This window comes from Homo sapiens, chromosome 16 (assembly GCF_000001405.40).
Source record: "Homo sapiens chromosome 16, GRCh38.p14 Primary Assembly".
In the NCBI taxonomy this organism is placed as follows: Eukaryota; Metazoa; Chordata; class Mammalia; order Primates; family Hominidae; genus Homo; species Homo sapiens.
The window spans coordinates 3182570-3206556 of record NC_000016.10 but is presented as its reverse complement, the minus strand read 5'-3'; the positions used below and the strand labels follow the sequence as shown (position 1 = coordinate 3206556).

Sequence of the window (23987 nt, the reverse complement as noted above, 5' to 3'; positions counted from 1 at the left end):
TTTTACAGCTAGGCCTCTGGGGGTGACATCCCATATTGGTAGGACCCACCTGAGCCGCAAAACCAGGAGGTTTTTATTAAGGACTTTAAAAGGGGTGGGGGTGTACGAACAGGGAGTAGGTCACAGAGATCACAGGTGTCAAAGGGCAAAAAGGAGAACAAAGATCACATGCCTCTGAAGCCAATAGAGATCACAAGGCAAAGGACAAAATCAAAACCTCCAGATAAGGGTCTATGTTCAGCTGTGCACGTATTGTCTTGATAAACATCTTAAACAACAGAAAACAGGGTTCAAGAGCAGAGAATCTGTCTGACCTTAAATTCACCAGGGTGGGGTTTTTTCCCCACACTAATAAGCCTGAGGGTACTGCAGGAGACCAGGGCATATTTCAGTCCTTATCTCAACTGCATAAGACAGACTCTCCCAGAGCAGCCATTTATAGACCTCCCCCGAGGAGTGCATTCCTCTCCCAAGGTCTTAATTATTAACATTCCTTGCTAGGAAAAGAATTCAGTGATATCCCTACTTGCACGTCCATTTATAGGCTCTCTGCAAGAAGAAAAATATGGCTCCATTCTGCCCAACTCCACAGATAGTCAGACCTTATGATTATCTTCCCTTGTTCCCTAAAATCACTGTTATTCTGTTCTTTTTCAAGGTGCACTGATTTCATATTGTTCAAATACACATGTTTTACAATCAATTTGTATAGTTAGGTAGAATTATCACAGTGGTCCTGAGGTGACGTACATCGTCAGCTTACGAAGATAACAGGATTAAGAGATTAAAGTAAAGACAGGCATGAGAAATTATAAGTGTTAATTTCGGGAACTGATAAATGTCCGTGAAATCTTCACAGCTTATGTTCAGAGATTGCAGTAAAGACAGGCGTAAGAAATTATAAAAGTATTAATTTTGGGAACCGATACATGTCCATATTAAAATGAAATCTTCACAATTTATGTTCCTCTGACACAGCTCCAGCTGGTCCCTCTGTTCAGGGTCCCTGACTTCCCGCAACAGCATCCAGCCTGGCGACATAGAGAGACTCCGTCTCAAAAAAAAAAAAAAAAATTTAGCTAGGCATGTGGCACACACCTGTGGTCCCAGCTACTCAGGAGGCTGAGGCAGGAGGATCACTTGAGCCTGGGAGATGGAGGGTGCAGTGAGCCAAGATCACGGCACTGCACTCCAGCCTGGGTGACAGAGCATGACCCTGTCTCAAAAAAAATTATAATTAATAGTTTAACTTAGTATAATTACTAAGTGTGTCACTAGCAAGAACATCATTTAATGAAACAACTACTGCATTAAACTCAATTGGTGAAAAATAAATTTCCTTGGGAATGAGATTCAGTCTTGATTATTTCATCAGACAGAAAACACCACCCTGCCAACTACTTTTTTCAGAGCCCCTTTCAAGTACCTGTTCCTCAGGCTGTAGATGAAAGGGTTTAGCATGGGAGTCACTACTGTATACAACACAGTAGCCATAGTGTCTTTCTCAGCTGAGTGGGAGGACAGAGGGTTAAAATACACAGCAATGATGGTGCTGTAGAAGAGGAGAACCACAGCCAGGTGAGAACCACAGGTGGAGAAGGCTTTCCACCTTCCCTTTGTGGATGGGACCTTCAGGACAGTGCAGGTGATGTGCATATAAGAAGCCAGGATGCAAAGAAATGGGGTGATCATGACCAGGGCACCCTCACTAAGGATTATGACCTCATTGAGGTGTGTGTCTGAGCAGGAGAGTTTCAGTAGGGGAGTCACATCGCAGAAGAAGTGAGTGATGGCATTGTCTGCACAGAATGAGAGTGGAGCCATCAGCAGGGTGTGCAGAAGGACATTCAGGTTGGCAACCACCCATAATCCAGCAACCAGCAGGGCACAGAGCTGATGGGTCATCTTTGCTGTGTAATGTAAGGGGTGGCACACGGCGACAAAGTGGTCATAGGCCATCACAGCTAGGAGGAAATTGTCCATGTCCACGAACATGAAAACGAAATACATCTGTGTGAGACAGCCACAGAAGGAGATGGTCTGAGTCTCGAGTATGTGATTGGCCAGCATCTTGGGGACGGTGGTGAAGGAGAAGCAGATGTCCACAAAAGACAGGTTGCTGAGGAAGAAGTACATGGGGGTGTGCAGGCAGGAGTCTATGCTTACGGACAGGATGATGAGCAGGTTCCCCAGGACAGTGGCCAGGTACATGCTGAGGAAGAACACAAAGAGGAGATGCTGCTGCTGGGGCTGCCTGGAGAGTCCCAGGAGGAGGAACTCGGAGACACTCGACTGGTTTGTCCCGCTCATGGGCCTGGGATCCTGGACACAGAGGCAGACAAAGAAGACGAAATGCAAAAGCTTGGAAAATGCTGGTTAAGATGGGGCACAGGAATGGCAGTAGAATTTTGCTTGCAGGATGTAAATGATAATATTGTCAACCCTGCTGGGGCTGCTACTGCTATGTTCAGGGCTCAGGTTTACAGAAGTCTGAGCCAGGCCTTCTTGGCTATATCCACGGAGCACCCTGAGTCCAATTTGTAAAATTAAAATGGAACAACCCAGAGGTCTGGGCAGAAACTCAGTCAGTTTGTGTTCCCCACAGTTCAGGATGTCAGACAGACGGGACAGAGGCTGGTCCTGACTGGGTGATTGCAAGGGACTGCTGCTGAGCTCAGGACTGTTTTTCTGGCTCCACATAATTGAAAGGAAGGAGGGTCCCTCTGAGGCTTTAAGTCCTGACAAGCAGTTATCAGTGAAGTCCCACTGATGTGACTCTTTTTATTTCTTTTTTTAAACGGAGTCTCGCTCTGTCGCCAGGCTAGAGTGCAGTGGCGAGATCTTGGCTCGCTGCAACCTTCAGCTCCCTAGTTCAAGTGATTCTCCTGCTTCAGCCTCCCAAGTAGCTGGGATTATAGGCACGTGCCACCACGCCCAGCTAATTTTTGTATTTTTAGTAGAGACGGGGTTTCACCATGTTGGCCATGATGGTCTCTATCTCTTGACCTCGTGATCCGCCCGCCTTGGCCTCCCAAGGTGCTGGGATTACAGGCGTGAGCCACCACACCTGGCCAATGATCTGACTCTTACCCAGAAAGAGCAGCAGTCCTCACTGTCTCCTGAAGTCCTGGGTTGGCTTCCCTTTTTCAGACCTGGCCAGAGGTTATTGGTCTGAGGGAGGGTGACTCGTCACTGGAGCTTTGAGGCTGAGTATCTCATGAATCAGGAGCTGGGCTGCACAGACTCAGCCCTTGATGCAGGAAGGATGTTTGGAAGAATCACAGGGCAAGCTCTTCACAGGAGCCTCCATGGCCACTAGGGTCATATTCCCTGAGAGCCTCATTGAGAAAAGCAGAGAGTAATTGTCCCTTCCCCTCCTTGGCTCTTTTGTGTCCGACACTGACGATAAAGCTTTGTCATACATAATTCCTGCCTCAGCACTTGGCAACACTGAAAGTGATGCAATCTAAGGGGTAATCATTGGCAACAATCCTTCTGCTAGAGGAAACTCACGACCCTGTATTTTATCCCCCACCCAGCTGGGATGCTGATCTTGTTGGGAGATACCTGTGAAGCTGTACTGGGATTAAGAAGATAACCTTTGGATTTTCACAGACCAGCACTCAATTTCCAGATCCACCATTACCAGTTGTATAGCCTTAGAAAAGCTAGTAACCTCCACTGAATCACCAGCTCCCATCATCTATAGAGTGGAGAAATAATATTCACCTTGTAGGGTTGTAATAACTAAACTAGGTAATTTATGTTAAATATCTCGTGACTCTTAACCTCATCAATGCACTGGGCTAAGACCATGTCCACTAGGTGAAGGCTGAAGATATTAAATTGTTATTATTATTATTATTATTATTATTATTATTATTATTATTATTATTTTGAGATGGAATTTCATTCTTGTTGCCCAGGCAAGGTACTACAGGCGTGCACTACCATGCCCACCAGGCTGGGCAACAGAGCGAGAATTCGTCTTAAAAACAAACAAACAACAAGAACAACAAACAACCCATAAAGCTAATTACGAAAGATCTGGGGAGGAGGAGGAGAATGGACACTGAATTAGCAAAGACATTATTTGCAAGCGATAGAAAACCAACTCATATCAGCCTAGGGAGAAATGACAGGTTAATGTCATTACAAAATCCAAGGTGTCTTCTTGCAAAGCCTTTGTGTTTCAGGCCAGACCAAATTCAGGGAGCTGAATGATAACATCAAGACCCTGTATTTCTCTATCTCACTACTGCATTGGCTTCTGCTCAGCTTCATTCTGCAGATTACCTCTCCTCATGTGGCAGCAAGATGTCCAACAGTGGCTCCAAATTCACATCCTTCCAGACTAGCAGCCACAGGGCACATGAAACTTCCCTCTACCAATGTTTATTTATTAATAACATTGTACTGATGCAGGACAAGCGAGCCCCAAAGTGAGGCCTAGTCTGCAAGGGTTCTTGGCTTTGCCCAGGAAAGAATACAAGGGCGAGCCAGTGGTAGAAGAAAACAGCTTTACTAAAGCAGCAGGCAGTGTTACAGCTGCCTGACTGCTCCTGCAGAGGAGGGCTCCCCCATAGGCAGTGTGCTGAGAGTAACAGCTCTAGGGAGTTTTGCAGCCATATTTATACCCATTTTTAAGTACATGTAGAATAAGGTGCAGTTTATGCAGAAATTTCTAGGGAAGGGGTAGTAACGTTTGGGTCACTGAGTCATTGCCATGGAAAGGGGCAGTGACGCCTGGGTGTCACTGGTGGGTATGTCTTATGGAAAGCTGCTTCCGCCCCATCTCTTTTAGCTAATCCTCAATTTGGTCCAGTGTCCGAGCCCTGCTTCCTACCTCAACTCCAGGTAAGGTTGTGATCATCCCTTCGTGGGTCATGTGTCCAAACCTGAACAAACCATTCTGCATGGAAGAACAGAGTACTCTCATCATTCTGGATCATCAGCTCAATCCATTCCATGCGGGAATCCAGTGATGGACATTGTCACCAGGACTAAATGGAGGAGGATAGGAATTCCCCTTTTCCTCCACGTATTTGGCAATAATTAAACAAGCAGACAAAAATGACAAGTGTTGGCAAGGATGTAGAGAAACTAGAGCTCTACATTGCTGGTGAGAAGGTAAAATGATGCAGCTGCTGGGGAAAACAGTTGGGTTGTTCCCCCAGGAGCTAAACATACAATTACCATACAATCCAGCAATTCCATTCCTAGGTTTGTACCCAAAAGAATTGAAAACAGGGACTCAAACAGATATTTGTACAACAATTATTGTACATTAGTCACAATGGCCAAAATGTGAAAATAACACAAGTATCCATCAACAGATGAATAGATAAACAAAATGTGGTAGATCCTTATGATGGAATATCATTCATCCATAAAAAAGGAATGAAGCACTGACACACACTACAATGTGGATGAACCCTGAGACATTATGCTAAGTGAAAGAAGCCAGATACAAAAGAACACATAATGTATTATTCTACTTAGATGAAATGTCTAGAGTAGGCAAATCCATAGAGACAGGAAGTAGATTAAAGGTTATTAACAGCTGGGGAAGGGGATGTGGGGAGTTATTGCTTAATGGTTACAGAATTTGTTTGAAACGAAAACGTTTTGGAAACAGATAATGGTGATTATTGCATACATTGTCAATGTAATTAATGCCATTGGTCAGGCATGGTGGGTCACACCTGTAATCCTAGTGAGGCAGGATAGGTAGTCAAGAATGTGACCATGTTCTTGGGACACAGCAACTGTGGTGACCACACAGTCCACACAGTAAGCCTCAGCATTCACCTTGTAATTGAGGTCATTAAAGCAAAGCTATCTTCAGTAGGTACTTTCCCTTCTGTAGAGCATGTGCATTCTGATCTTACCTGCCTTCAAATTGACCTTTTCCTGGTTCTTTGTTTGTTTATTCGTTTTTTGTTTGTTTGTTTGTTTTGAGATGACGTCTTGCTCTGTCGCCCAGGCTAGAGCGCAGTGGCGCAATCTTGGCTCACTGCCTCCCGGGTCCACGCCATTCTCCTGCCTCAGCCTCCCGAGTAGTTGGGATTACAGGCATGCACTGCCATGTCCGGCTAATTTTTGTATTTTTAGTAGAGACAGAGTTTCACCATATTGGCCAGGCTGGTCTCGAATTCCTGAGCTCAAGTGATCCGCCCCTCTCGGCCTCCGAAAGTGGGATTACAGGCATGCGCCACCATGCCCAGCCTTTTTCCTCATTTTAATAGTAAAAAACATATCCCTGGGTGGAGATTTAAGATGCTAACGAGACGTGCAACCTATGAACAAGCATTCACAGCTACAGCACTTGTGCACTGAGAAGAAGACCACCCAGAACAGGCTTACTAGTAACACCTCTCTCATCTCCTTATGAATAACCATTTAAGGCTCCCATAAAGGGAGTCTCCCTCGTGCATCTTTGCTGTCTCATTCTTACAAGCGGCCTGCCCTCAGTTCCCTCTCTCTCAGGGTGTACTGTCTATTCTGCACCTAACTTTGTTCTTCTTCTTTTTTTTTTTTGAGACGGAGTTTTGTTCTTGTTGCCTGGGGTGCAGTGCAGTGGCATGATCTCGGTTCACCACAACCTCCGCCTCCTGGGTTCAAGCGATTCTCCTGCCTCAGCCTCCCGAGTAGCTGGGATTGCCAGGCATGCACCACAATGCCCAGCTAATTTTGTATTTTTAGTAGAGACGGGGTTTCTCCATGTTGGTCAGGCTGGTCTCAAACTCCTGACCTCAGGCGATCCGCCCGCCTTGGCCTCTCAAAGTGCTGAGAGATTACAAGTGTGAGCCACTGCAACCAGCCATAACTTTCAAAATATCCTTTTTCTTTTGCAAGAAGTTACTCTATGCTGCATTTGTTTTGCTGTGTGTCTCTTGTTTAAATTCTTTTAAACCAAGAATACATAAACCAAGGTATCATATCAATGGTCAACACTAGCACTTTGGGAGGCCAAGGTGGGAGGCCCGCTTAAGCTCAGGAGTTTGAGACCAGCCTGGGCAACATAGTGAGACCATCAACACACCTGGCTAATTTTTAAATTTTTTGTAAAGATGATGTCTCATTATGTTGCCCAGGCTGGTCTCGACTGGTCTTGAACTCCTGGGCTCAAGCAATCCTCTTACCTCAGCCTCCTGAAATACTGGGATTACAGGCATGAGACACTGTGCCCAGCTATTTAATCTCTTTTATTATATATTTTTATTTTCATCATCATAATAATTATTATTATTTCAGGTAGGGTCTCCCTCTGTTGCCTAGGCTGGAATGCAGTGGTATGAACACAGCTCACTGAAGTCTCAACCTTCCAGGCTCAGGTGATTCTCCTGTCTCAGCCTCCTGAGGAGCTGGGACTACAGACACATGCCACTATGTTCAGGTAATTTTTTTTTTTTTTTTTTTTTTTTTTTTTTTTTTTTTTGTAGAGACAGGATCTTGCCTTCTGGCCCAGGCTGGTCTGGAACACCTGAGCTCAAGTGATCCTCCTGCCCTGGCCTCTCAAAGTGCTGGGATTATAGGCGTGAGCCACCATCCTCACCTTCTTTAATGGGTTTTGATTTTGTTTTTGTTTTCGTTTTTTGTGACAAGATCTTGCTCTGTCACCTAAGCTGGAGTGCCGAGGAGTGAACACAGCTCACTGCAGCCTCAAGCTCCTGGGCTCAAGCGATCCTCCCATCACAGCCTCCAAGCCCAGCTAATTTTTGTATTTTTTGTAGAGCCGGGGTTTTGCCATATTGCTCAAGCTGATCTTGAACGCTTGGGCTTAAGTGATCCTCCTGCCTCGCCTCTCAAAATGCTGGGATTCCAGGCGTGAGCCACCGCGTCCACCGCTGTGATTTCTTAAGGGTAAACAAAAAGGGTCAGAAGACCTCATGGTTTCTACCAGGCAGGACCTCGCCACTACCCTTTCACCTGAAGTACAAAGTCTCACTGTTGTTTTGTTTCATCTCCTGCCAGCTGCCACCATCAGGTCCAACATAGACCAGGCCCAGGAGAGCTACCTGTTCCCTGTCCCCGCTTGCATATCTGTACAGAACTGTGTTGATTCCCCTAAAACACCCATGTTCATCAGGCATTTCCCCTGCTTAAGGGGTTAAGCCTGTCCTCTCTCTGCATGTGTCATCCCCACCACCAACAGGGGAAACATGTCAGCCTACTTGCCTCAGCCAGATGGCACACCAGCTATTTTGTGCCTTCAGAATCCCATGAAAACACCCGCTCTTCCTGGGCCTCCTGCCTGCTAGCCTCCGGATTAGAACCACACCATCAGCTCTGCTGGGTCTCCAGTTTGCCAACTCACCCTGCATACTTGGGGACCTGTTAGCCTCCATCTGCGTGAGCCAATTCCTTATAATCTCTCTCTCTGTCTCTCTCTCTCCCTCTCTCTCCCTCTCTCTCCCTCCTTCTCCCTCTCCCTCTCCTTCTCCCTCTCCTTCTCCCTCTCCCTCTCCTTCTCCCTCTCCCTCTCCTTCTCCCTCTCCCTCTCCTTCTCCCTCTCCCTCTCCTTCTCCCTCTCCTTCTCCCTCTCCCTCTCCTTCTCCCTCTCCTTCTCCCTCTCCCTCTCCTTCTCCCTCTCCTTCTCCCTCTCCCTCTCCTTCTCCCTCTCCCTCCTTCTCCCTCTCTTTCTCCTTCTCCCTCTCCCTCTCCTTCTCCCTCTCCCTCTCCTTCTCCCTCTCCCTCTCCTTCTCCCTCTCCTTCTCCCTCTCCCTCTCCTTCTCCCTCTCCTTCTCCCTCTCCCTCTCCTTCTCCCTCTCCCTCCTTCTCCCTCTCTTTCTCCTTCTCCCTCTCCCTCTCCTTCTCCCTCTCCCTCTCCTTCTCCCTCTCCCTCTCCTTCTCCCTCTCCCTCTCCCTCTCCCTCTCTCCCCAGCCCATTTAAGCTTGTAGTCAGATGTAGGACTGCGCTGTCTGAGGAACTGGCCCCCAGCAGCAGGTGGCTCTGGAGCCCTTGACATGTGGCCACATTTAAGCTTGTAGTCAGATGTAGGACTGCGCTGTCTGAGGAACTGGCCCCCAGCAGCAGGTGGCTCTGGAGCCCTTGACATGTGGCCTGTGCAAGTTGAGATGTGCCTTAGAGGAAAGCATGCCAGAGTTTGAAGGTTTAGAATGAGAGAAAAAAAAACCAACAACGACATAACCTATCTCATTGATAATGTATATATTGATTACTTGTGACATAAAACATTTGTTCAAATAAAATGTATTATTAAGATTAGTTTTGGGCTGGGCACAGTGGCTCACACCTGTAATCCCAGCACTTTGGGAGGCCGAGGCAGGTGGACCACCTGAGGTCAAGAGTTTCAGACCAGCCTGGCCAACATGGTGAAACCCCGTCTCTACTAAAAATACAAAAAAAAAAAAAAATGCCAGGTGTGATGGCTCATGCCTGTAATCTCAGCACTGTGGGAGGCTGAGGAGAGCGGATCACCTGAGGTCAGGAGTTCGAGACTAGCCTGGCCAACATGGTGAAACTCTGTCTCTACTGAAAAAAATACAAAAATTAGGTGCAGTGGCGCACTCCTGTAATCCCAGCTACTTGGGGGACTGAGGCAGGAGAATCACTTGAAGCCGGCAGGCGGAGGTTGCAGGAAGCTGAGATTGCACCACTGCACTCCAGCCTGGTCAACAGAGTGAGACTCTGTCTCAAAGAAACAAAACAAAACAACAACAACAACAAAATAGCTGGGCATGGTGGTGGCGCCAGTAATCCCAGCTACTTGGGAGGCTGAGGTGAGGCTGGAGACTTGCTTGAACCCAGGATGCGGAGGTTGCAGGACGCCATTGCACTCCAGCCTGGGCAACAACAGCGAAACTCCATTTCAAAAAAAAAAAAAAAAAAAGATTAATTTCACCGCCAGTCGTGGTGGCTTACATCTGTAATCCCAGCACTTTGGGAGGCCAACGCAGGGGGATCTCTTGAGCCCAGGAGTTCAAGACCAGCCTGGGCAACAATAGTGAGATCCCATCTCTACAAAAATAATTTTAAAAATTAGCTGGGTGTCGTAGTGCGTGCCTGTGGTGCCAGCTACTTAGGAGGCTGAGGTGGGAAGATATCCTCAGCCTGGGAGGTCAAGGATGCAGTGAGCTGTAATCGTACCACTGCCCTCCAGCCTGGGCAACAGAGGGAGACCCCATCTCAAAATAATAATAATAATATTTTTACTTTAAAACTTTAATGGCCCCGATTAGCATCTCCTAAGTCTTGCTAAACGTTACTAACCTTCATCCAAAAACTTTCACTGGGCAAAGACCTGAGAGTACTCCATGTCTCAACCTTCTCTGCAGCCTAGGGCTGCAAAGGAAAAGGAAACATGTGCTCAACACAGGGCTCAAACCCACGACCCTGAGATTAAGAGTCTTGTGCTCTACCGGCTGAGCTAGCTGGGCATAACTGCAAGGTTTTCTGATAATGGAGTGTGTGCTCACCACTTGACATGAACGTGAGGATGAATCAGGCAGTGCCACCAACTGCTCGCTGGGTCCTGCCCTTCCCAGGAGAAGAGAAAGTCCACCAGGAGAGACGTGACCCACGCGTCCTGCTGGCGGGTGGCACAGAGACTCTGGGGTCCTGGAAGCCCCAGGCAGGGGCTCAGTGACCAAACCCACCTGGTGGGGCTGCGCACCCAGGTGGGAGGGTACATCCCACCCTATGTTCTCAGTCCCAAGGTGTGCCCAGATGTACTGGGGGCCACATTGCCCAATAAAGTAATTCATGCTCTCAAATATGTATTGAGCACCTCTGTGTGCCAGGCACTGGGGATATAGCAGTTAACAAAATGGACTTTCAAAACAGAAAAAGAAAGAGGGTGGATTCTGTATCAGAGGTAGTTGCTGGTCTTCACTTCTTTTTTTTTTTTTTTTTTGAGTTCCACTCTGTCCCCCGGGCTTGTAATACAATGGTGTGATCTCTGCTCACTGCAACCTCCAACTCCCGGGCTCCAGCGATTCTCTTGCCTCAGCCTCCCGAGTAGCTGGGATTACAGGCCACCCCCACCACGCCCGGTTAATATTTTTGTATTTTTAGTAGAGACAGGGTTTCACCATGTTAGCCAGGCTGGTCTCGAACTCCTGACCTCAGGTAATCTCCCGGCCTTGCCTCTCTGAGCCACCGCGCCGGGCCCTGTTTCCTTTCTCACTGGGATGGACGCCCGCATTTGAAGCTAGTGCGTCGTTTAACCCGCACACAAGTCGCGGTAGCTGTTTTGGTTTGTTTGTTGTTTTGTTTTTTGCCTTTTTTTCTGTTTTCTTTTCTTTTCTTTTTTTAATAGTAAACGCAATTAGCACAATGAGTTACCTGTCTTTTTAGGGAGGATTCTCTCCTGTTTCCGTAGCGGCAGGAAGAGAAGGAACGGTTGGGGGGAGAGCGCCGGAGGCGCAGGGTCTGAGATTGGGTCCAGGACCCGGGCTCTGAGCAAGAAGCACCCTCCTGGGCCGGGATGCGCTTCCCGGAGCACGGCTGGCATTGTGCTCCGGGGGACACGGGGCCTTCCGCCACCAGAGTGCTCACTGAGTGACACGCCAATCTGGACAGCACTTGCTGGACCCCAAATCCTGGACCGATGCCAAGACTCCACCCTCGAGGTCTTTCATGCCCAGGAGTCACTATCAGAAGTCACAGAAGAAGGGCGGTGGCTCACGCCTGTAATCCCAGCATTTTGGGAGGCCGAGGCAGGAAGATAACTTGAGCACAGGAGTTCCAGACCAGCCTGAACAACATAGCGAGACCTAAATCACTCACGATCATAAACCACATTAAGTCCACATGATCATCTGCCCACCTCACTTCCAATTCCGCAAGTGCCCCCCTTAAATTCCAAAAGAGACCTCTGTTTTCTCCTGTTCCTGTTTACTTTTGATCTGCATATTTTTCCATTTTACTAGAATCTTTTTTCTCCCCTCCTCTCCTCTGGCCCGAGTGCCAAGAGCCTTTGGCACTGATCATACACAAACATCTGGGGCCTCAGAGTCGCTGCTTGTTTTGTAAAGTGTCATACATCTCTCCCGTGGGGGATATCCAAGTCAACCAGGATAGATTGAACGTTCTTTTCTGAGGTTGAGCAACATTAATGAAACAAACTGTATTCAATTCATCCCCTATTCATGGTCATCTCCCTTCCCGTTTTTGAACAAAATTACTGCAATAAAACATCCTTGTACATACATGGTACTCTTATTTCTATGAAATGGAACGTGTGGGCCAAAGAGGTGTGTATACAAGGGGTGCTTTCTAAAACAGAAAGACAAACCAAACCAAACAAACAAACCAAAACAGAAAACCAGCCTCCAACATTTTCCCACTTTGATATATACAAAAGCTGTACATTGCTTTTTCTTGTCCCTTTGATGTGGAGAGAGGTAAGTAAAATCTTCACTCTTCTCATCCTAGAGAGAGAGGAGATTGTGTGTCTTGTTTAATGCCCTGTTTTTCTTCCAAATTCATGCCGTTTCTTCTTATTCTTGCAAAGTTTTTCTACTTATGTGTCTCCATGCTTTGTCCTTTTTAAAAGGCGTGATACCTTACCCCAAGTCACCTACGGTCGGTGTTGTCTTACCCCAGGTGGAACTCGAACCCACAATCCCTGGCTTAGGAGGCCAGTACCTTATCCATCAGGCCACTGGGGCAGTTACCACGTGCCCTACTGAGAATATTAAAAGACAGAATAACTTATCGCGGGTGGCTAGAAAATGACCCTAGAATTGGTTTGGGCATTTATTCAAGGAAGTATGCCAGCTTGAGCAACATAGCGAGACCCCGTCTCTACAAAAATTTTAAAATTAGCCGGTTGTGGTTGCGCTCGCCTGTAGTCCCATCTACTTGGGAGGCTGAGGCTGGAGGATCGCTTGAGCCTAGGAAGTGGAGGCTGCAGGGAGCCGAGATGGCGCCACTGCACTCCAGCCTGGGCGACGGGAGTGAGATCCTGTCTCAAAAAAAATAGTCTTAGCCCAGTTCTTGCAACGCAGCAGCCTCCATTCGGGTCGCCGGGGACGCCATAGTGAACGAGAGAAAACTCCCATTCCCCGTAGAGCTCTGCAGTCTGCGTCCTCGCGCCACCGGCGCTATCCTCTCCCGCGTGGTTTCCGATCCTCCAGCCCGCATGGGCTTCGCGGAGCCCGACTCGTCTGATCCTCCAGAAAGGAGTCCCAGGCGCCCGAAGGAACTAGATTTTCCTTCGGAGTCAGAGAGCAACGGAGGGTCTCGGGCTGGGTGCGTCGGTGAAGCGCTGAGCCTTGACGCGAGGCCCTTGACAGCCCCACTGTGTTTAATAAAGGTCAGGTCCTCCTGGGGTCCAGGGCATGACAAAAGATCCTGCAGGGGCCGGGCGTGGAGGCTCGCGCCAGTAATCTCAGCACTTTGGGAGGCCAAGGCGGTGGATCACTTGAGGTCAGGAGTTCGAGGCCAGCCTGGCCAACATGGCGAAACCCCGTCTCTACTAAAAATACAAAAATTAGCCGGGTGTGGTGGCTCCTCCAACTACTCGGAAGGCTGAGACAGGAAAATCGCTTGAACCTGGGAGGCGGAGGCTGCAGTGAGCCGAGATCGCTCCACTGCATTCCAGCCTGGGCGACAGAGGAAGACGCCATTTCAAAAAAGATAAAAAATTTTTAAAAACTCTTTTTTTTTAATCCCGCGGGGCACAGTACCCGGGAGGAAGATTGCAGACGGCGCGAGTCAGACACCCCACCGGACCGCCAAAAGCTCAACTGCAAGCCCAAGTCAGCGCCCTCTTAGCAGCCTCCCGGGCCGCACCCCAGGGCCGAGCGCCGCGACTCAGAGCTGGGCCAACGTCCGGGACACGGAGGCGGCCCGGGAGATTCTACCCTGCACCTCGCTTTTCCAGGCTCGGCGCGAGAGGAAGCAAGGAGCCAGACAAAACCCTCCCCTTGAGGCTGCTCAAAGCCGACGCCCCCCGGGATCGTGGACACAACCCCTGGAATCCGCTGTGACTGTCATTTACCTAGTGGTAAAAATTCAGCAGTGTTGGAGCTGCTCAAGATACTCATCCCACCAATGAGGCTTCCGGGACCTCAGACACTCATGCGACAAGGCGATCTAATATACAATCCATATTCTAAATTCCCCCAGTAACTTTATATTTTATAAATTGAAGCAGAGAAATCCAGGACCGAGGGGTTGAGTCTCACTGGAGTAAACCCTGGACTTGAGCCCTTGAAAGTGCATGGCTGTTGGCCGGGCGCAGTGGCTCACGCCTGTCATCCCCGCACTTTGGGAGGCCGAGGCGGGCGGATCACGAGGTCAGATCAAGACCATCCTGGCTAACACGGTGAAACCCCATCTCTACTAAAAATACAAAAAATTAATCGGGCGTGGTGGCGGGCACCTGTAGTCCCAGCTACTCAGGAGGCTGAGGCAGGAGAATGGCGTGAACCCAGGAGAAGGAGCTTCAACCGAGTTGAGATAGCGCCACTGCACTCCAGCCTGGGCGACCGAGCGAGACTCTGTCTCAAAAATAAGAAGAGGGGCTCGTCCGGGATTTGAACCCGGGACCTCTCGCATCCTAAGCGAGAATCATACCCCTAGACCAACGAGCCACAGCAGCAGGCCCTTTACTTTTCTTTGTGGCAGCCGTGGAGTACTTGGAGCGATAAAGCTCAAGCCTGCGAAAGCAAAGTGACAGGAGACTGGGATTGCAGACTCAGTGGGTGGGCCAGCGCCCCGGCCCCTCTCCGCACCGCACAAAGTGGGGAGAGGCCCCTGCACCCCTCACACCCATCCTGTGGCCCCTCAGTTCTCACCCGCCCCCGCCCCTCTGCCCCTGGCTGGCAACCAGCCCGTCCCGGTGCTGCCTTTGGTCATTTCACTGACAATCCTTGCTGCTGGGAGCGCGCGGAGACCAAAATTCAATCATTGAGGGGATACCATCACAGAGCGCGATGTGGCACCTGGTAGTGTTCATTAAATGCTGGCTGTTTCCAGAACTCCAAGGTAGCAAGGAAGAAAACAAGTCGCCCAACGTGGGGCTCGAACCCACGACCCTGAGATTAAGAGTCCCATGCTCTACCGACTGAGCTAGCCGGGCTTCCCTGGGAACGTTTTATGTCTAGTAATTGGCGGGGTGGCATGAGAATAGTAGAAACTAAGTGACGTAATGAATCAGCCCCAGAAACCAGGGCACACTGGGGGTCCCCTACAACAGGTTCAGTTCCACCCCGACATCCCCGCTGGTGCAAGACTTTGCTCACCGCTCTGCGATCTCCCATAAATGGAGATGACCCGCCAGAGGCTCCTTCCGCAGGGCGCTGGCATAAATCTGTATTCTCTGCCGTCCGCTGAAATGTCCTCCTTTCAGAAAGAGAAAAAACATACCCACACTGCACGCACCTAAAAGAGTCAACGACAACCTCTTTTTGGAGGCCACTCGAATTACAGGAACAGGAGAGTTCTGCTGTGTATCGGGCAAATTAACCCATCTTTGGAGCTGCAGACAGAATGTCTGAAGCTCACTGGGAGCTCACAGAAGTCCTCGCAGGTGTCGCTCCGCACTGTAACCTACTGTGACGTGCATGTAGCTGTTCCGTTTCCATTACTGTGTGCTTTTATATCTAGAACTATTTGGTTGTTTTTTCAATCTAGAAGGTTCAAAGGAGAGCATTTTACATAGGTCCCGTTGTCAAAGATATTTTCTTTATTGCCTTTCCTAAGGATAATTGTATTACAGACTTCCCAATAGTCTGCATCCAAAATGTTTGCAATTTTGTTTCTGTTGCCTACTGTTGATGACTTGTTGTTCATGATACCTTGTTTTGCGGTCTTTTTTTTTTTTTTTTTTTAGATAGAGTCTTACCTTGTCACCCAGGCTGGAGTGCACTGGCGCCATTTCAGCTCACTGCAACCCCCATCTCCGGGGTTCAAGCGATTCTCCTGCCTCATCCTTCCTAGTACCTGGGATTACAGGCGCCCGCCACCATGACCGACTAATTTTTGTATTTTCAGTAGAGACAGGGTTTTACCATGTTGGCCAGGATGGTCTCAATCTCCTGACATCAGGTGATTAACCTGCCTCAGCCTCCCAAAGTGCTGGGATTGCAGGCGTGAGCCCTGCCTCCCTGCCTCCTTGTGCTGGGTCCATTTTCCTTGTAAATTTCTTTGATTCTTGATTCATAGCACGTTCTCAAACCCAGCGTCCCAAACAAAAATGAAGTCCCTGCCAATAGAATCTGTCCTCAGAGTAGACCAGAGGAGGCCCCAGTCCTGGTGGGCGCTGGGACTCAGGACGGGGTACCCGGGTTCCAGGGTTCAGTCCGTACTCCTTCCAAAACCAGGACAGGGGAGCAGAGGAGCCCCAAGAGGCTACACGCAGGTGAGGAGTGACGGGATGTGGGGAGGGAGAGGTCTCTGGACCCCAGACGCAAACACCCATAGCCTATCTCCACTGCTCGAGTGCCTGGCTCACTCTCTCATTAAGACTGCGACTGCTAGAACCGGGGATAGTGGGTGGGAGTCCCAGGCTGGACCTTTTAAGGCGTCTGACTGTGAAGATTCGGCTCTTATTGTATATAGGGACTTGTCTCTTCTTCGGTGCCTCGAGTTTGCACTGCCAGAAGTAACAAAAAACAAAACAAAACAAAACAAAAACCACCAAAAACCAAACAAACGACAAAAAAAATAGCTTGTCAAAAGGGCTCTGGCAACACTGGTGACAGGACTCTAGATGAATTTTAAGAAGAGGTAGTGGGATAGTAGGCGGCGTCAACATAGCTTGAGACCTTTGTACAAATTACCTTTGCAGGGCGTCCACGTCCTGCGCTGAGGTCTGTAAGTCGAGCCGAATCTAAAAAAGAGCAGGAAACGACTTTTACCCTGCACCAAAAGCCGGGCTCGTCCGGGATTTGAACCCGGGACCTCTCGCACCCTAAGCGAGAATCATACCCCTAGACCAACGAGCCACACGATTTACGCATTAAGGTTATCTTTGTGGGCGTCCTAGCATCCTGGGGGCGGCTGGGGCGGACCCAGCAGGACCCAGTGAGTAGAATCTTATTTCAGACCCGCCTGGAAGGGGCAATTTCAAGTGAGGATGGGTGTGGCGGAAGCCCAGAGCCCCGGCCCCTCCTCCGCGACGCACAAAATGGGGAGCAGCCCTGGCGCTACCACAATCCAGAAGGGCCCTGGGTCCTCGCCCGCCACCGCCACTCGGCCTTGAGTTGGGGATTCGGCGTCTCCGAGGCGCGCAGTGAGGAGCTCCAGCTTCCGCAGGACATGGGAACCTCCCAATAGCAGGCAGCGGCTGCGCTGAGGGTCTGCGAGCCTCGATCACTGCAAGCTCGCCTTGGAAACGCTGCAGTCCCTCAGCGTGGCACCAATGGGTGTTCAATAAAGGCCTGACGGAGTGCACGAGACACCAGCTACCAGGCACCCTACCTCGCCGCACCTCACGCTTCTCCGGCTCCGGTCCTCCCTTCTCCCCAGGGAAGCCAAAACCCAGAAAGCGAGTTTCCCACGTGGGCCTCGAACCCTAAAGGCTGACGCTGAGAGTCTCTTTTCTCCATCGACTGAACCAGCCCCGCAGCGCCTGCCTGGCCTCAAGTGCCCAGGATGGCTGAGCTCTCGGAGAAGACGGCTTAGGCCACCAACTACGCTGCGCACCAGGGGCGATTCTGCGATGCGCCCCCTTGCCCTTCACTGGGGGGAGCTGGCGGGACCTCCAGTCCCCAGGACGTGAGGAGGAGCAAGAATGAAGGCCGTGGGGCAGCAGGCGTCGGGCATCGGTTCCGGGGCACCCTTTACTGTCACTCTGCCCTTCCCTGTATCCAGATTTCACCTGACTCCCGAGAATCCAGCAGATCTGGGCTAAAAGGGGCTCCCTGTCCCCTCCAGATCAAAGCCGCGAATTCCCTCGCTCTCAGTGGGAAGGCCCCGGGGTCTGGGGGTGGGGACAAGGGCCGAGACCCCCACCCCGCCAGGGCCGACTGAAGTGCTGCCCGCGGATGCCCGGTCTTCCCCGCCTCCCTCCTCTCACTCACTCCCCTCCCTTCTCCCCCGCTTCCGGTATTCTCCCCTTCTCCGAATAAACTGGAATTTTAAGCGGAGGAGGGCTCACCTGGGACTGGAGCAGCCATACTCTGGAATCCTAGAAAAAATTTATGCCCCTGTAGCGACCAATGAGCCCGGCGCATTCTTCCTTATTCTAAATAACCTCCTCCTGCTGCACGGGGTCGTCTCCTTTAACCGCAGTTGCCGCAGTTGGCAGCGCTGGATCCCATTTCACCAAGGCGAGCGATTCAGGCCCGTCCGTCTGCGTCCCGGGACCCCGGGAGGTCTCCACTGAGGCCCTGCCAATAGCAGCCTCCCTCCGCCTTCCTAGTCTCCTGTCCTTGCTGAAAATGCGAAATGGGAAAAAAGAGAAGGAAAAGGGGGCTCGTCCGGGATTTGAACCCGGGACCTCTCGCACCCAAAGCGAGAATCATACCCCTAGACCAACGAGCCGCCGCTTCCTTTTTTCTTTTTTCTTTTTTTTTTTTTTTTTTTCCTTTTTCTGGTGGGGGACACGTCCTTCCGTCCCTGACGCAGAGCGAGACTCTCTCCATCGCCCCAATAGCTCAGTCCTTAGCGCGCGCACCTGCGAATCTTGACTTGTGGGTTCGCGGCCACCCTCAGATTTCCGAGGCAGGCTTTACTCCTGCTGGGTAAACCAACAAGGTTACCCGCTGAGGTTATGAGCTGGTGGTTTCAATGTCGTGCTGGTATGATATATAGGTGCATTTGCCTATTACTAAGGTAAAAGGATTTCCAGGCAGGATAGAGATGTCAGAAATCATAAAGGAAATACACAGATTTTATCCAAGGTTTTAAAACGGCAAATGATAATCCAAAGAAAATACAATCGAAGTTACAAACTAAGGGCTTATTACTGGGCTACATAGATTTCGAATCCTTTAAAAAATTACATAGGCATATTTTTAAAAGACATTTAAGAAAAGAAATGAAGATCTATGACAAAAAAGGCTTCGTCTTCCTCACCTGGGACTATGGAGCATAAACGCTGCTTGCCGCAGCCTCTCTGGCTGGCAAGTGTAGCCTCGGGCTGGCCCTAAGGGCCATAGGTGGAAAACAACTGAGCCTTGAAGTGGAGACTGGAGAAAAAGAGATTGTCCTAGAGCTTGCATGGGAAGAGTTTCGGGACCCAGAAACTGGAAACATTGGATTTCCGTGACAAAGTTTGCCAAGTAGCAGTACATGGTGCAATGGGTGTGTCTGGAGGCTGGCGTGAGGCGTAAAAGGCAGCTGGGCCCGCTGCTTCAGTGACTTCCTTGAGACTCAAAGGAAGCCAAGGAGAACCCTGTCTACTCACCTGCAGGCATCTCTCCCGGTGTCTTATGTATTGTCTGCTCTGGAAGTCACAGAAAAGTGAAGGAGGCTGGGCGCGGTACCTCCCGCCGGTATTCCCAGCACTTTGGGAGGCCAAGGCGGGTGATCACTTGAAGCCAGGAATGCGAAACCAGCCTGGCCAACATGCCAGACCGCTGTCTCTACTAAAAATACAAAAATCAGCCTGGTATGGTGGCGCGTGCCTGTAGTCCCAGCTACTCAGGAAGCTGAGGCACGAGAATCGCTTGAACCCGGGAGATGGAGTTTAGAGTGAGCCCAGACTGCGCCACTGCCCTTCAGCCTGACAGGGTGAGACCCTGTCTAAAAAAAAAGAAAGAAAGAAAAAAAAAAAGGAAACAGAATAGAGTCCAACTGCTCATTCTCGTCAGTTACTGAATAGGGACTAGACTCTGCTGGTTTCCATGAACTAACTCATGCTGTTTTCTTTCTTTCTTTTTTTGAGACGGAGTTTTGCTCTTTTTCCCCGGGCTGGAGTGCAATGGGGTGATCTTGGCTCACCGCAACCTCTGCCTCCTGGGTTCAAGAGATTCTCCTGCCTCAGCCTCCCAAGTAGTTGGGATTACAGGCGTGTGCCACCATGCCAGGCTAATTGTTGTATTTTTAGTAGAGACGGGGTTTCTCTGTTTTGGTCAGGCTGGTGTCAAACTCCTGACCTCAGGTGATCCGCCTGCCTCAGCCTCCCAAAGTGCTGGGATTACAGGCGTGAGCCATTGCACCCAGCCTCATGTTGTTTTCAGCAGATGCACGAGGAGTACACCATTATCTTCATGTCTACAGATGACACAACTGGAGCCCTGGAAAGGTTAAGGAATTAGTTCAAGTTCACACAGCCAGGAAGTGCCCTGGAAAGTCTGGCTAGAGAACCACGTAAACAGCTGTCTTTGCACACCAACAGGTAATTCACAGAAAAAGGAAAGCAAACACACACACACATACACACACACACACAGATGGCCAATAAACATGAAAAACCACTCACCTCACTAGCAAAGTTTCTTTCCCCACTTTCTGAACTGCCCGCTGCATCAATTCCATTCTAGGCCTAGTTTATCTCATAGCCTTACCACAGAAGCCAGTGGGGAATAGCTATATGTCTGAATTCTCCAATTTTGGCATATGCTTTGACTCAGTATATTGATAATTGAGATATACTACACATACCATAAAATTCACTAAAGTGTGTAATTGAGTGGTTTTTATATATTCATGTGATTGTGCAACAGTCACTACTATCTAGTTCTAGAATGTTTTCATCAGCCCAAAACAGATGCAGTACCCATTAGCAGTCCTCCCTGTTCCTCCCTCCTCCAATCTTCTGGCAACCACTAGTATGCTTTCTGTCTCCACGCATTTGCCTGTTCTCTACATTTGATATAAATGGAATTATACAATAGCAGTCTTTCATGTCTGGCTTCTCTCACTTAACATAATGTATTCAAGGTTCATCCTTGTTGCATATGTCAATAATTCATTCCTAATTATGACAGAATAATATTTAGTATTATTGAATAATACTGTATTAGTTTGCTAGGGTCGCCATAACAGTACCATAGGCTGAGTGGATGAAATAACAGAAATTTATTTTCTCACTATTCTGGAGGCTGGAGTCTGAGACTAAGTATGGGCAGGGTTGGTTGGTGCTGAGACCTCCTTCCTTGGCTTGGGGACAGCCATCTTCTCCCTGGGCCTTCATACCATCTTCCCTTTGTGTATGCCTCTATCCAAGATCCAAATTATTATTATTATTATAATTTTGAGACAGGGTTTGTTACCCAGGCTGGAGGACAGTGGCATGAACATGGCTCACTGCAAGCCTCCACCTCCAGGGCTCAAGAGATCCTCCTACTTCAGCCTCCTGAGTAGCTGGGACTATGGGTGATTGCCACCACACTCAACTAACTTTTTTTTTTTTTTTTTTTTTTTGAGACGGAGTTTTGCTCTGTCGCCTAGGCTGGAATGCAGTGGCATGATCTTGGCTCACTGCAACCTCCGCCTCTCAGGTTCAAGCAATTCTCCTGCCTCAGTCTCCTGAGTAGCTGGGATTACAGCTGTTTGCCACCAGGTCTGGCTGATTTTCATATTTTTGTAGAGATGGGGTTTCACCATATTGGCCAGGCTGCTCTGGAACTCCTGACCTCAGGTTATCTGCCCACCTCGGCCTCCCAAAGTGCTGGGATTACAGTAGTGAGCCGCCATGTCTTGTCGACTAATTTTTTTATTTTTATTTTTTTGTACGAACGAGGTCTCACTATGTTGCCCAGGCTGGTCTCAAACTCACACCTGTAATCCCAGCACTTTGGGAGGCCGAGGTGGGTAGATCACTTGAGGTCAGGAGTTCAAAACCAGCCTGGCCAACATGGTGAGACCCCCGTCTCTACTAAAAATACAAAAATCAGCTGGGCGTGGTGACTCAAGCCTGTAGTTCCAGCTACTCGGGAGGCTGAGGCAGGAGAATTGCTTGAACCCAGGAGGCGGAGGTTGCAGTGAGCCGAGATTGTGCCACTGCACTCCAGCCTGGGCAACAAGAGCGAAACTGTGTCTCAAAACAAAACAAAACAAAACAAAACTATGAAGCCCGGTAATAAGCCCTTGATTTGTCATTCAGATTGTATTTTCTTTGGATTGTCATTTGCCGTTTTAAAAACTTGGGTAAAATCTGTACATTTCCTTTGTGATTTCTGACATCACTATCCTGCCTGGAAATCCTTTTACCTTAGTGATAGGCAAATGCACTTATATTTCATATCAGGACGACATTGAAACCACCAGCTCATAACCTCAACGGATAACCTGGTTGGTTTATCCAGCAGCAGTAAAGCCTGCCTCGCAAATCTGAGGGTGGCCGCGAACCCAAAAGCCCAGATTCGCAGGTGCGCGCGCTAAGGACTGAGCTATTGGGGCGATGGAGAGAGTCTCGCTCTGCGTCAGGGGCGGAAGGACGTGTCAAAAAACAACAACAACAACAACAAAACAGAGGGGAAGCGGCGGCTCGTTGGTCTAGGGGTATGATTCTCGCTTTGGGTGCGAGAGGTCCCGGGTTCAAATCCCGGACGAGCCCCCTTTTCCTTCTCTTTTTTCCCATTTCGCATTTTCAGCAAGGACAGGAGACTAGGAAGGCGGAGGGAGCCTGCTGCTGGCAGGGCGTCAGTGGAGACCTCCCGGGGTCCCGGGACGCAGACGGACGGGCCTGAATCGTTCGCCTTGCGGTCGGTCCTATCACCCTGAAATGGGATCCAGCATCCCATCACCCTGAAATGGGATCCAGCACTACCAACTGCGGTAGCCGTGGTTAAAGGAGACGACCCCGTGCAGCAGGAAGAAGTTATTTAGAATAAGGAAGAATGCGCCGGGCTTGTTTATTTACGGGCATAAATTTTTCGTAGGGTTCGACGGTATGGCGGCTCCAGTCTCAGGTGAGCCCTACCCTAGCTTAAAATTGCATGGTATTGCGGGGAGTAATGTATGTGGCGGGGTGTCAGAGGGAGGGGAATGAGGGAGAGACGAAGGAGGGGCGAAGGCCGGGGCTCAGCTGGCAGCACTTTAGTGGGCCCTGGCGGGGTGGGGGTCTCGGGCCCCGTCTCCACGCCCAGACCCCGAGGCCTTCCCACTGAGCCAGGAAATTCGAGGCTTGGATCCGGAGGGGATGGGGAGACGTTTTCAGTCCAGACCTGCCGAATTCTCGGGCTCCGGGTGAAATTTGGACACAGAGAAGGACAGAGTGACAGTAAAAGGTGCCCCGGAACCGACACCTGGACGCGGCCTCTGCTGCCCCAAGCGGCCTCTGCTTCCCCACGTCCTGGTGACCGGAGGTTCCGCCAGTTCCCCCAGTGAAAGGGAAGGGGGTACATCGCTGACTCCGGCGGGCGCCGCGGGTCTGGTGGAGCGAAGCGACGCTCAGTGTCAGCCTCTTGAATTGAGGTTCCACGTGGGAAGCTCACCTTCTGGGTTTTGGCTTCCCTGGGGGAGAAGAGAGGACCGGAGCGGGAGAAGCGTGGGGCGCGTCGAGGTAGGGGGCCTGGTGGCTGGTTCCTGGTGCACTGGCGAGGCCTCTACTGACCACCCATCTGCACCACGCCGCCGGGCTGCAGCGTTTCCAAGGCGGGCGTCCAGTGGTCGCGGTTCGCGGACCCTCCGCGCAGCCGCTGCCAGCTCTTGAGAGGTTCCCATGTCCCGCCGGAGCTGGAGCTCCTCACTACGCGACGCGGCGTGACGCGCGGATCCCCAGCCCAGGGCTGAGAGGCGGAGGCGGGCGAGGGCCCGGGGGGCCCCGGATTGTGGGGGCACAGGGGATGCTCCCCATTTTGTGCGGCGCAGGGAGAAGCGGGGGCTCAGGGCTCCCTCCGCGTCCACCCGCGCTTGAACTTGTCTCTTCCAGACTTCAGGAAATCGGAGTCTCCTCCTAGCTCTGCTCTGCTGGGTCCCCACCTCTGGCCACGAGGACTCCACGAAGGCCACAAAGACAAGCCGGAGGCTACGGGGCGTGTGGCTCGTTGGTCTAGGGGTATGATTCTCGCTTAGGGTGCGAGAGGTCCCGGGTTCAAATCCCGGACGAGCCCGGTTTTTGGTCCAAAATATCGGTTTCTACCCTTTCCTACTTTAGATGAAGATCAGAGATCCAGAC

The 23987-nt window shown here is 50.1% G+C and overlaps 1 protein-coding gene, 6 non-coding genes and 1 pseudogene across 11 annotated transcripts, besides 5 other annotated features; 2 read left to right on the top strand and 6 right to left on the bottom strand.

Annotated features, from left to right (window-relative positions):
* On the bottom strand, positions 1–18353 carry OR1F1 (olfactory receptor family 1 subfamily F member 1). Of its 5 annotated transcripts, NM_001370641.2 has the most exons (5): positions 18078–18353; positions 16759–16808; positions 15220–15316; positions 3091–3330; positions 1–2322 (listed from the first exon to the last, which is right to left on the bottom strand). In NM_001370641.2, the coding sequence occupies exon 5, from the start codon at positions 2308–2310 to the stop codon at positions 1372–1374; it is 939 nt and encodes a 312-aa protein (NP_001357570.1). In that variant the 5' UTR covers positions 2311–2322; positions 3091–3330; positions 15220–15316; positions 16759–16808; positions 18078–18353; the 3' UTR covers positions 1–1371. The 5 variants fall into 5 exon arrangements, with proteins under 5 accessions (NP_001357570.1, NP_001357569.2, NP_001357568.2 ...); NM_001370640.6 differs by lacking the exon at positions 3091–3330 and having other exon boundaries at positions 15220–15319; NM_001370639.4 differs by lacking the exon at positions 3091–3330.
* Positions 10332–10404, bottom strand: TRK-CTT14-1 (tRNA-Lys (anticodon CTT) 14-1; annotated as a pseudogene).
* Positions 14405–14774: a silencer, noted in NCBI's record as "silent region_7129". NCBI's record gives its function as "represses an Ori minimal core promoter by ATAC-STARR-seq in GM12878 lymphoblastoid cells {active_cell/tissue: GM12878}" and the evidence as "EXISTENCE:reporter gene assay evidence [ECO:0000049][PMID:35858748]".
* TRP-AGG1-1 (tRNA-Pro (anticodon AGG) 1-1) lies at positions 14497–14568 on the bottom strand. Its single transcript has one exon. It is a non-coding gene; the product is annotated as a tRNA-Pro (tRNA).
* TRK-CTT4-1 (tRNA-Lys (anticodon CTT) 4-1) lies at positions 14984–15056 on the bottom strand. Its single transcript has one exon. It is a non-coding gene; the product is annotated as a tRNA-Lys (tRNA).
* Positions 16795–16954: a silencer, noted in NCBI's record as "silent region_7128". NCBI's record gives its function as "represses an Ori minimal core promoter by ATAC-STARR-seq in GM12878 lymphoblastoid cells {active_cell/tissue: GM12878}" and the evidence as "EXISTENCE:reporter gene assay evidence [ECO:0000049][PMID:35858748]".
* Positions 16852–16923, bottom strand: TRP-AGG2-8 (tRNA-Pro (anticodon AGG) 2-8). Its single transcript has one exon. It is a non-coding gene; the product is annotated as a tRNA-Pro (tRNA).
* A 38-nt stretch (positions 18354–18391) lies between the features above and the next one.
* Positions 18392–18463, bottom strand: TRP-TGG3-5 (tRNA-Pro (anticodon TGG) 3-5). The gene has a single exon. It is a non-coding gene; the product is annotated as a tRNA-Pro (tRNA).
* Positions 22102–22161: a silencer, noted in NCBI's record as "silent region_7127". NCBI's record gives its function as "represses an Ori minimal core promoter by ATAC-STARR-seq in GM12878 lymphoblastoid cells {active_cell/tissue: GM12878}" and the evidence as "EXISTENCE:reporter gene assay evidence [ECO:0000049][PMID:35858748]".
* Positions 22353–22424, top strand: TRP-TGG3-4 (tRNA-Pro (anticodon TGG) 3-4). Its single transcript has one exon. It is a non-coding gene; the product is annotated as a tRNA-Pro (tRNA).
* Positions 23162–23421: an enhancer, noted in NCBI's record as "active region_10313". NCBI's record gives its function as "activates an Ori minimal core promoter by ATAC-STARR-seq in GM12878 lymphoblastoid cells {active_cell/tissue: GM12878}" and the evidence as "EXISTENCE:reporter gene assay evidence [ECO:0000049][PMID:35858748]".
* Positions 23542–23611: a silencer, noted in NCBI's record as "silent region_7126". NCBI's record gives its function as "represses an Ori minimal core promoter by ATAC-STARR-seq in GM12878 lymphoblastoid cells {active_cell/tissue: GM12878}" and the evidence as "EXISTENCE:reporter gene assay evidence [ECO:0000049][PMID:35858748]".
* TRP-AGG2-7 (tRNA-Pro (anticodon AGG) 2-7) lies at positions 23851–23922 on the top strand. The gene has a single exon. It is a non-coding gene; the product is annotated as a tRNA-Pro (tRNA).

Excerpts from the sequence above, each read along its gene's own strand:
- OR1F1 (NM_001370640.6), bottom strand. The coding sequence starts at position 2,310 with ATGAGCGGGACAAACCAGTCGAGTGTCTCCGAGTTCCTCCTCCTGGGA.